At 36.1% G+C, this 12,443-nt stretch overlaps 2 long non-coding RNA genes across 3 annotated transcripts in view, besides 1 other annotated feature; one reads left to right on the forward strand and one right to left on the reverse strand.

Moving 5' to 3' along the window:
- The window catches only part of LOC107986620 (uncharacterized), a 175,866-nt gene that overhangs the window by 63,650 nt on the left and 99,773 nt on the right, over positions 1 to 12,443 (forward strand). The gene's annotated exons all lie outside the window — the stretch shown is intronic.
- Positions 4,587 to 12,443, reverse strand: part of LINC01611 (long intergenic non-protein coding RNA 1611) — a 53,902-nt gene continuing 46,045 nt past the window's right edge. Inside the window, exon 5 of the long non-coding RNA NR_132100.1 lies at positions 4,587 to 4,801. This is a non-coding gene — a long non-coding RNA (long intergenic non-protein coding RNA 1611). The remainder of the gene's footprint in view (positions 4,802 to 12,443) is intronic.
- Positions 8,115 to 8,680: an enhancer, noted in NCBI's record as "OCT4-NANOG hESC enhancer chr6:85134274-85134839 (GRCh37/hg19 assembly coordinates)". NCBI's record gives its function as "activates a minimal SCP1, AML or CMV promoter by ChIP-STARR-seq in naive H9 embryonic stem cells {active_cell/tissue: H9 hESC(naive)}" and the evidence as "EXISTENCE:reporter gene assay evidence [ECO:0000049][PMID:30033119]".

Raw genomic sequence — 12,443 nt, forward strand, 5'->3', positions numbered from 1 at the left:
TTCAGAATACCAAATATTTGAATATGTCCCAAAGCATGATTACTTTAGAGAGAGAATTGAGGTCTGATATTGCACAAGCAAAAATAAAATGATTGCATGGGGGAAAATACTATGTTGCTTGGGAAAGTGATCAGGGTTCCTATTTTGGGGCATCACATAGCATTTGTTCTCACATGACAGAAAAATTATTTTTCTTATAACATTATTCAAGTTGTATAATATAGGCTATATTTGAAAAATAAATGAATTTTATGCAAATGAAATATTTGAAACAGAAATAAACAGTTCTTTTTTATTTTTTAAACTTTAAATAGTTAAAATGTGGTAGATTATTTCTGATTTAAAGTCTAAATAGATGCTCTCAAAATGTCATAAACAAATGTGAACTACTATGTGTTCATAAATCTAATTTCCATTCCTTCCTTATGAGATGCTATTAAACACTATTTAATAGCATACTATGTAATTCTAATGGGAGATTGGATCTCCACTATTTAGATGTTGTGTCCAATTAAAACCATTTAAATTTAAAGCAATAGTATATTAAGAAAATTCCACTTTAGTAATAAAATTATGTTATCTTCTCTTGTCAACCAAATTCTATGAACATTTTCTCGAAATTGTAATAAATACTTAGTTTTCTATAAAATCATATATTGTCTATGTTGCAATGTACAGTTATGGTAGGTGCTATTAAAGAAAAGCTGTTGCTTCATTATAATTATTCTCTAATTTGAGCATTATTTAAAAAATCTGTGAGTGTGTCTGAACATGTGTGTACGAAACCATATTGTTTTCTATATGTAAGAAAAAAGCATTCCATTGAATTTATTAAGAAATAAAACATATCCGTTGACTTTAAGTTCAAACTAGATGACAATGACTAGGGGTATTGGAAGAAAAAAAAACTAATAAAAATAAATTTCTTACACAAACCCCCAGAATTATGACATTCCTTTTTGAACAAGTTTATTTGTATTGTTAGTCATATTAAGGCGATTGCATGAATCTCTGTAGAGATCAAAGCCTTATGACAACTTAATGACTCTGCAGATTGCAATGTGTTCCTTACCATTTTAACATCCAGTTCTAAATTTAAAAAAGAATTTGATTTCTCCACCCTCCATAGCTGTTTTTTTTTTTTTTTTTAGATGGAGTCTCACTGTCGTCCAGGCTGGAGTACAGTGGCAGGATCTTGGCTCATGCAACCTGTGCCTCCTTGATTCAAGCGATTCTCCTGCCTCAGCCTCCCAAGTAGCTGGGATTACAGGTGCCTGCCACCACACCCAGCTAATTTTTGTATTTTTAGTAGAGACAGGGTTTCGCCATGTTGGCCAGGCTGATCTCGAACTCGTGCCCTCAAGTGATCCACCCACCTTGGCCTCCCAAAGTGCTGGGACTACAGGCATAAGCCACCGTGCCCGGCCCACCGTCCATAGTTTTTTAAATCACAGAGCCTATATGGCTTTCAGCAGTAACCATGGCAGACACACTCACAATGTACATCTGTAGAGAGCTTTATTGTTTTCGAAGCATTTTCACACACATAACCTTGAGAGGTAGACAGTTTTCACGGCTATTTTATAGATAAGGAAGCTGAGATACAGAAAGTCGAGTGGTAGATCCCAAATATTAGAAGGTGAGCTAGAAGTACAATTCAAGTTTTGAATTGTACTTGAATTGAGACATCAAGCCCAGATCTAGTAATTTTAGAGACCACTAAACAAGCACAGATGTGACAGTTTCCTAAGGCTTGGGGAATCTTCATAACAGCAACAGTGTATGAATTTTAACATCCTTCTTCTAGGTATCTAATTCCAACTGTATACTTGAATGTGTATGAACAGAGAACCATTCACACAAACCGCATTTAAAAATTATTTTAAAGATGAAGCATATTGGCCTTAAGATTGAGATGGGGGACTCGAACCAGGATGTGTTTAGACTTATTGGATCCAAGTCAAGGTGGCCAGTTAACATTCTGGAAGCTTCACGTTCTCAGTTTTATGCCACTCAGCATGGCTCTGGTCAAGCCAGTTGTACCACGACTAGCTCTGCCTCTGGAACAAGCTGTTCAATCTCTCTTAGCCTTAGCTTCCTCATCTCTAAAATGGGGATAATAATACCTCCCTCATAGGGATTTTTGTGAAGATTAAATGTGATAATACGAATAAAGCCATTGAACAATGTATTAGATTTTTAGGGCTGCCATAACATTATCTCAAACTGAGTGACTTAAAACAACATAAATTTATTCTCTCACCATTCTGAGGCCAAGTCCAAAACGAAGATATGTATGGGCTGCACTCCCTCCAGAGGCTCTCAGGGAGAGCCTTTCTTTGCCTCCTCCAGCGTTTGCTGGTTTCAGGTGTCCCTTGGTTTGTGACTGATTAATGCCAATCTCTGTCTCTTGAAATGGCCTTCTCCTCAGTCTCCATCCCAAATCTCCCTCTATCTTCCACTTTTAAGGACACTTGTCTTTGAATTTAGGACCCTCGCGAAAGTTTAGGATCATCTCATCTTGAGATCCATAATTCAATCACACCTACAAAACTCTTTTTTTTTTTCCCAAATAAGGTCATATTCACAGGTTCTGAGGAGTAAGACATAAACATATCTTTTTTGGGGGAGGGGGTTGTCACAATTTAACCCAGAGCCTGGGAACAAACCCCTGCACCTTCTACCTCTATTGTCCTTGATTCAGACCATAAAATGTGGTCAATTTTGCAGTGATTAGCTCAGCAGTTCCCAATCCTGACTGTACATTAGGATCACCTGGGGTGTCTTTGAACCTCTCAGTACCCACCTGGGCTGCATTATAGACCAATTAGATCAGAATCTCTGAGAGTGGAACACAAAAATTGGTATGTTTTAAAGTTCCCCAGGTGATTCCAATGCACAGTCAAGGTTAGGAACTGTGGTACAAGGGCTCAATTGAAGGCCAGTCCATAGAAGTCCTGGGTTTTCTGGATTAAACAAGAATCTTTGGGTTTTACCTGTTCAATGTACCAAGACTTTTGGGGTACAGAAACAGAAATTTATTGTTTTATCAGCACACCTATGCAAATCATGGTCCTTGACTTCTGCACACCATTTTTGCTTGTGCTGTATGCTAACTCTCATTATCTGTAGGAGTGAAATTTAGTAGAAGGATTTAAGGCAGGACTAGATAGGAAATTTAGGAGACAAGCTCCAATTTCAGTGACATTGTTGATCCCAGAGGACTCTGTCTAGTGGGGCTTGATATGGATATAATATTTTGTTTCCAAATCTAAATCAAGCTAAGGCTCTGGGGCAGTACAAGAGACTGTGTAGTGCTGGAAAAATTCTTTTCTGACATTCCTAGGCATACCTTGCAAATAAAAACATCATACAATTCTTTTGCAGGAGGCTTTAGTGTGTTTACTAGAGTAGGTGATGTTTGTTGGGTTAGTCTGTCCAAGGTGTTGGCAAATTCTTTCAGTAGTTTTCTTTTAACACTGTTCCAGTCGCTGACCTTCTGCATGGATTATAGGTTTCTTTTTGAAGCAAAACTCCAGAAGAGACTTGGGAAGGAAACTTGCTCTTGTGCCACCTGACTCAGGAGGCCAGCATGTATCACAATCAAACACCACCACTATTCAAAGCTGCAGCACAATAGGTCCCCTGCACGTTAGGTTCAAAGTACTTTTCTACCTGGCGTGGCTATTCAGTCATCAAGTGGCAGATCCTCAAGAGGTCCCATTACTGATCCCTTCTGTACTGATAGCCTCACCTATGTCCCCTTTGAAAACATGATCCCAGAAACCAGCCTAAGACCTTCTTTTACAATAAAGAATGCACAGTTGATAAAGCAGATGAGGATGCCCATCTGAGGGCATCTTTCAAAACACAGTGTTAGGTCGAAGCAATAAAGCTCCAAATTATAACACTTGGGCATTAGCCTGATTTTGAGACATATTTTGAGATAACAGAATGATGGGTCTAATGCTTTGAAATTAAACAACATTTGTCCACCCACTTTTCCTACATATTAGCCTAGACTCAGGGCAGGCATTTTCAGAGCATCCATAGAATGCACTGGTTATTAGCTATCCACATGCACTCCATCATCTACAGCTTAAGAATCTCACAGGGTAAACTGGAATTAAGAGCACTGAAGTCTTCTTAGGAAAGGGATGTGGGTCTTGGGAAACTTGAGTCTTTTGGATAGGAAAAAGGTGGGAGTACATGATGACGTCTCTACAAATTACACCTTGGAGGAGACAGATTTCTCCTTCCAAGTGGCATTGAAAGGTCAGCAGATAACATGCAGAATAATTCGGTTTATACTTACCTGGGTAGTAATACTATATTTTAAAAACAACAACAAGAAGAAGAACAAGAGAAGGAATGTCACAGAAGTCAGGATAAAGGTTACTGTAGAGAAGAAGGGGCAGTAGAGAACTTCCAAAGTGGAGAGATGTCTTCTTTCTTAATCAGATGGTTACATGTGAGTTTATTTTATTATTATTCTTTACACAGTAAATACTTCCCTGTGTATGCTATATTCTGCAGTTTTTAAAAAGATAGCAGTGTTAAATTGGACTATAAAGTATAAAAAAGACTTTTTTTCACTTATTTCATATCTTTTATTTCGACAATGTGCTTGATTGGTACACTTATAAAACATTTGTTAAACGACAGTTCCATTAACATGTAATATCTTTTAAGATAAAAAGTTTTCATAATAATAAGGGAAATTCTCTTGAGGGGTGAGGACAGAGCAGAGCAAACAATGGCTCTGCTCATTAAAAATACTTTCTTCATACCATCACCATTCCTGAAAAAGAGAAATCCTGAGATAAGTAAAGTGGCAGTTCTGTTGACATAAAAGAAGTCGTTAGAAGGGAGGGTGGGACGGGCAGAAAACTGCCATGTAACTACTCTTCCTATCCACTTTTCCAAGTGCTTTCCTGGGAAGTTTTCCACTGTTTGACTTTTTATTTTCTTTACGGAATTTATATCTCCTCACCTAATGTTGCTGGTTTTCACCCCAATTATACCTGTAAAAGCCATTTGTGAAGTCACCTGGAAGATTTTTGACAGAAAGGGGGTGTGTAGATCTGGAAATGCTAGATGGGGCCCCTGCATCTGACTCCTTGTCCCAATTCTTTTCCTTGGGAATTGCCTGAAGAAATGCCTCTACTGGGGCTTGTTACATTTGTAAATGAATTTTTTTCCATTGTGTGTGGGAGTCTTGAGAACTTACTAATATTGAAACAGGTAACAACAATTTAAACATTTTTAAAAGTTGATGCAAACAAATAGCCTTAAGAGTTAACATTATTAACACATTTCTATTCCGCTAATGTGGTATGAAACTGACACACAGAATTTTCAATTGTATTATTCCATGTTACCCTAAAAAACAATTTTGGAATGAACTCAAGAAAGGTAATGTTCTTTTTACTTTAGATAAAAGAAATCACTGGGATAAAAATGGAAGGGATGTATAGCTGTTATAAAAGAAAGGTATTTAAGTCAAGCAAGAATTTAATTGCCATTTCACAGTGCCTTGCTTTTGTTCCTAATTTTCTAATCCTGTTCTGTACTGTTCCTTATTTTCTAATTTTCTAAGCTGATAACGACCCACACGTGCAAATTCTGGTTTAACACCCCAGAAAGTTTAATTGCATTTATTCTTGTTTACTGGTTTTGGCAATTTTAGCCAATCTTATGATCTTTTGCAAAGTAACAACGTAGAGACAGTATGAATGCTGATGGTAGATGTTGAAGCTGATAATTAAACCAGACTTTTTGTGAGAGGGAATTTTGTAGCCCAGGCTCACAAGCTCACAGACTTTCCTTGTTGTGAGATTATTTATTTACTCAGATCCCCACACATTTTGTGTTTTATCCTGGGGTTGGGCGGAGGCAGGCGTGGGGAAGCCTTTTCTAAAAGTCAGAGTACGAAATACTCAAAGGGATTCCTAAATTCAGCAATTACTCAACCACTGGTGCAGAGAAGGTAAGTTATTTAGAGTTGTTGATGTTTTAAATAAGCCGAGTGAAGGAAGCTCTTCAGGCGGACAAAGCGGAGAATATTGGGCCAAAGGGCCGAGCACACCCCTGCAGTGCCCTTCGCCCAGTCTACCATGGGGTGGCGCTCTAAGGCCCAGATTTGCCCGCCCTCGTCCTCCACGCGCTATTGCAAGCAGCAGAGAATGAACCCTCTCAAGCTTTCGTTCTTGTGTCTCTTTCTCATTGTACATGTAAAATATTTACATTGAAAACCCACTGACCGTCAGCAATGATGAAAATAACTAAGTAATTAGAAATTGGTTGGACATTTGTATACTTAGCTCTCTCAAGTATGTTTATACAGCTGATAGAAATGAAGGTTTGGGATAAAAAGAATAATAGCACTATCATATAATTTCAAAGTTTGAATTACTTTTTTTCCTGAAAATATTTTAGGTTAAAAAAACCGCTCATATCTAAACTCCTAGAAATCCACTTTTAACCTTTTAATAAATTATGCCATATAATACAATTTTAAAATCCAAAGATTCAAGGTAATTTAGTTATTAATGAAGTCAGAGTTACTGTATTTTTTCATGATAAAAGAAGGAAGGTGAATAGATTTTAAATAAATGAAGATTTCAAGCTAGCACCTTTGTTTTAGTTTAGCACCCTGGACTATGCCCTGTTGAAAGCATTAAAGAAAGATGCAAAATCTTTGAATAAACTGCAAATTAATCTCCATTACCCAAATAATTTCCATCATTTTTATTGTTTTACTGGGCAGATATATTGCTCTGTGTAAAGGGAAAAAAGAGAGTGCTCGATTTTCAAAGGGAAAGAAGCATAGAGGATAAGGTTCACAGCTACAAAAATACATATGATTCATTTTAAAATGGAGCCTTAAAGACAGTGGTCTGGTCAACCATCAGCATCTTCCATTACCAAGAAGAAAATATCCTCCCATATGAACCATATCTACCATTTTTTATCTTATTCATTTTACTTAATATCATATCATGAGCACTTTCCCAAATTATTAAATACTCTTAGAAAATCTCATTATTCATGGCTCTATCATCATTTAAAAAAATTTTGCGTATTACTCATTGAACAGACTATTTTTAATTTTTCTAAACAATTGTCTAATAAGTCCTTATAAATAAAATTGCCCAGGAGATATATGTACATAAATTTTTGTCAAGCAACTGTCTTTAAATCTTTAAAGAAAGTTTTATTTTAATGTAAAAAAATTTAATCTTAACTTTAAAAAGTTTTTTAAAAAGAAACCGTAGATAAATATACTCCTACATAATATAAAATTGATTATATAGACAAGCATTTTTTTGTCGGGGGGGTGGGGGGAGGGTTGGAGAGTGTCAGGATTTTAAAATCCCAGTTAGAATAAACAGATACTGTATCTACTTGGATTAATTTTGAGATGCCAAATTTCCAGAACTATTCATTAATATCTCATTAATGTCAGATTTATATACTCAACAAATCTGAAAGAGTCAATCTAATTTACTATTTAAACGTTGACATTTTATATTTTTTCTACACAAATATTTGGGTTTAAAAAGGAAACCAAGAGCTATATTGGGAAAAACTTTGATGCCCCTGACCCTAAGAAAGCGTTACTCTTCATGAAGAAAGAATAAATGTTTGAGGTGGCAGATATCCCAGTTACCCAGATTTGATCATTTCACATTGTATCCTTGTATCAAATATCACATGTACTCCATAAATTAATAAATAAGTTTAATTAAATTAATAAAAATTTTAAAAATTAAAAGTTTCATTCTTTTTGAGAGAATTATGTATTCAATGTCGTGCATTGAAAATGAGTTCCCTAAGTGAAGGCTGCTAAATACAGAAGACATATGTGTATAATCTCAAAATAATAGGTGAAAACCTGAAGATATAAAGGGTTATGTTTGAAGATAGAGTTAAACATATGGTGTCTGCTTTGAAATTCTCTTTCTATATTTGGGCATGATCTTTTTCATAGATATGCAAGCATAGTCTCTTTTTCTTTGACTGTCTGTTTACACGTCATAGTCGCAACCTCCTAGTGAAGAAAAATTTTCCAGTTTTAAAAATTTGCAAGTAAGAAAATAAAATTGTCACAGTGTGAAACTGGATTTTCAATGCAAAGCTGTTATGACAAGAAAAAAACATACAGTTTAAGGCAGATATTTCAAAATTCTATTTTCCTTGAACCAAATTTCACCTTTTTTCCCTCCATTGTTGCTTAAATAATTTTTGAATGCATTCAGATAACAACTTGGAAAAGTGAAATGTTATACTCACACATCAAACAGGCATTCCTTCAATAGGACAATTTTTGTGTTCTGCATTAGAAAGAACAAGACTCCTTTAAGGGGGAACCCTCCCTACTTAAACAATGAAGGCAAGAAAAGGTTACATGCCTTTAGGGCTTTCCTTTCACTATCTTTACCAAAGGAAGACGTACAAAGAGAAGTTAAGCTTCCTTCTACAAGGCAGTGACCATGATGAAGAATTTTTTTTTTTTTTTTTTTAATAGTACTCAGGCCAGATCCTAGTGCAGGTGGGTGTTTTCCAAACAGAATCTGTCTGGTGGAATGAGAAGCACCGTGGAAGTCAGATTCTCCTGCTTTCCATCTGTGGATGTCTGTCATTTGGGGACAATGACCAGCACTATATTTTCTTAACCCAATATGGACAGAGTATGTGTTTGGATTGTATTGTGTGACATCCCCTTCTCTATCGAACAGGCTCAAGAGGGGAGGGGGTGGGGTCTGGCTTTTTAAGGATGGGTCTAATGCGTTCAGCTGTTATCACACTTTGCTGATTGTAATCACTCGTTTTATGGTTTCTTTTCCAGCTGCTCCAAAAATTCATTGCAATATCCTCTAGGTTTATTTTTAATATCCCATAATTCAAAGATCTAAGAAAGAAGAGTTGAAATAGAAATCCATGTCCTGATTCTCTCCCATTTTTTTTTTTCTCTTGGGGAAGAAGGGATTTAGGATTTGGACACATTCCTCAAAATCCTCTCTGGAGAAATGTGTTCTTTTCTTTAGGGAAGGAGCCAGCTTGGAGCACATTCACAGGCTTATTCAATTGATAGAGGAATTGGGAACCGATCCTATGTAAATATACAAAATATTTTAAATTCAAAAAATTAATTCTTTCTTCAGAGCATTTATGTTTAAAATGTTTCCTTTTTGAGTGGTAGCAAAACAATAGTACTCTGTTGGCATTTTAGGATTTCGAGATTCCCTGAATAAAGTATTTGCTCTAAACTCTGTTATCCTAAACTTATTTAGTAAAGGGTAAGAACGTATCGCTCTTTAAACTGCAGAACGCTTTCATGCATGGGAAAACTAAAAGGCAAGGGGATCCCCATATGTGCTGTCTCTGAAAATATCTTGACTTACATTTTAAAATCAACTTATTTCAGGGGAAGTGGACCCTATCAGTTTTCTTTGTTTTCCCCATTTAGTCCTCTGAAGAGCTAGATCTGAGAAATGATTCAGCTAGAATTATAGGTTGCCATTTCTTCATTTTCCACTACATAGCAGCAGCTCCTTTCAGTCATTTTTAAGTCCTTTAAAAGCCCATATGGGGAAGAGGGGGAGGGGACTGCCTGTAAATCATAAGGACCCAGTTTCTTGATTTCAGTGAAGGGTAGTTTTACTGTCCGCTGTCACCACAGCTGTCAGCAGGATGCCTTAAACATCCTAATTGTCACTAGGGATCAGATTGTTCCTTAACTAATTGTTTAGATCAGCTAATCTACATCCATCATCTGCAAAGGGCAGGCAGCCCCAGGCATCCTGTAATTTAGATAAAACTCCTTTTCTGGGTCTAAACACATTGTTTGGGTGACCAAGGGTCAGGTACCAAAAAGCCTACCTAGGGGTGGAACAAGAGTGGAGATTGTATACTGAGGACCCGGTGAGCCTCCAAGCTTACAAGCCCAGACCACCTGCATGTGTCCCACTCAAACAACTGTGAATCAGTAGAAGATTCCATGTCATTGATCGCAATATGCCAAGAGCCCAAACAGAGCAGACAGCCAAGATCACTGCCTGAGTCAGCCCTTGTGTTTGCACTCATATGGGCTTTGAGGTACTCGTTATGACACAAATGTGCTGGGTATTTTTGAGCTATTTGCAAGGCTTTCTTGAGTTATACTTCTAAAAACACATCAACAACAGCGACATAGTATAAATTATATATGCAACACACACATTTCATGTTAGAATGAAGTCTCCCTTCTAAGAACCTCTGCTTTAATAAGCTTTCTAAAACAATTGGTGAATTCGTTATTTTAGACTGTGAGGTAGTTTTTCTTGCATTCATCTGCTCATTCTTCCTTCAATAAAAATTTATTTCAAACTCTCATGAGCTTGGCAAGAAGGTTTTTGTGCCTCAGGAATGCAATTCGTTTAGAAACAAGCCATCCCCTTACATTCATATAGTTCTTATCTCAGAGTGCTTTCAAAATAACTAACGAATCGATTTAAAAGTAAAAAAAAAAAAAAAAAGTAAAAGCAAGCAGGCCTTGAACTGAGCAGAAGTGAAGAGGAGTAGAAAGACAAATGTTTGATAAATGATAAACAAACAAACAAATACAGCCTTCCCAAGAGTGAAATTCAACCATTCATTAAGATAATTTAAGAAAAGGGGTCTAGGGACTTCTAAAAAACAGAACTTTGGAAAACCCTCCACAGTTATCTCACTCATTCAGATTTAGTATAAATCCTATTAATTTTGCAGTAAAGAACCCTACTAATTTTGTTTAGGATGGCCTTTCTCTCACTTTCTTTAGTTTTTCTTTTAATGTAATAGTATACCTATTAATATTTTATAGAAGTACAGTGCTATGAAATGGAATCTGGAAAAATAATAAAAGAACAATTGCTAAATTGTAGCCAGCATTTATTGTGGTTTACCTATTTAGCAGGCATTATTGTAAGCATTTTACAAATAGTAATTCATTTAATTATCACAACAACCCTATGATGTAGGTACTTTTATTATTCCCACTTTGTGGGGAAATTGATTCACAGAGAGGTTAATTTACACAAGATCACAGATTGTGCTGGTGAGATAGCAGAGAATAGCAGTCAAACTTGGGAAAACCTTTTAGAGGAATCAGGTTCTGAAATGGGAATTAAAGGCTGGCAGGAATGGGGGTTTGTTGTCCCACAGAGGCAGATAGACAAGGAACACAGACTTTAGATGCTGGAGGTTTCCGTAAAATTGGATTGGAAAGAAAATGGGCCCCGTCTGGGGCAGAAGAGAAATGACAGCCATAGGGCTGACAGGGACACCAGGGCAGCTACAGTAAGTGATGATCGGCTATGGTCCAGCTTCTGACACTCAGAAATTTCATTTTGTCACTTTCACCTATTACAGCGACTAAAAGAACTTAGGAAATCTATAGACTGCTTTTCTTCCCTGCCCCTGACTGCCATCATTTTCTACAGAATTTTCTTTTCTAGTTGCAAAAGTAGTCTGTATTTATTGTAGAAAATATAAAAAATAAAACACACACATGCCCAGAGGAAAAGAGAAAATTAAAACATTTCTAATTCTACATCCCAGAGATAATCACTTTCAGCATTTTCCATGTATAATTTCAGACATAAAATAAGAAAATTGACTTAAATCTACATAGAACTTTGCCATTTCCTTCCCCTCCCCACAGCTTAGCTTGATGTAGTAAATATTTTTCATGTTTTTATATATCAGTTTTATTAAATTCATTAAATTAAATTAATTTATTTAACAGATCTGCTGTTGATAGTAGATGGTTTCTTTCTCTTGTGTGAGATTATTTTCTTATAGTTTCATGCAAACTCATTAAATCATAATTTATTAACAGATAAAATGATTTTTATATTGCTAAATGCTCTCTGTAGATGTACTGTTTTATCCCTGTGGCAGCATAGACTGAAAAAGCCATTTCCCCACATACCACACCATAGAGATACAGAAGTTTCTAACTTTTGATTTAGAAGCTTTCTCCGAAAGGCAAAGCTGTAACTCAGAGCAAACCCGAGTCACCTCTGAGTGCCACCAACAGGTGGCGATGGCTGCTACCAGGATGGAGGCATTTGACACTTTACGAATTAAAGCAGTCTTCTAGACGTTAACCTTTAAAAGGGATAAATTTTATAAGTAAAAATGGTATTTCTTGTTTGAATTTCGGTTTGGTTATTAAAAAACACTGAATGGTTTTTTGCATGTTCATCTGTACTGCTTTTGCAAATTGTCTTCTCACTTCTTTTGCCCATTCTCTTTATACTGGGGTGTTCATCATTGTCATATTATTTATAAATTATCTTTATGGTCAGTACATTATGAGTATTATTTCAGGTTTACATTTGTCTTTTAATTCATAGTTTTTTAAAACTTGGATAAGGAAGTTATACAGAAGTTTTAAATGTTTATATAGCCATTTC

The sequence above is a fragment of the Homo sapiens genome, chromosome 6, assembly GCF_000001405.40.
Source record: "Homo sapiens chromosome 6, GRCh38.p14 Primary Assembly".
Classification (NCBI taxonomy): domain Eukaryota; kingdom Metazoa; phylum Chordata; class Mammalia; order Primates; family Hominidae; genus Homo; species Homo sapiens.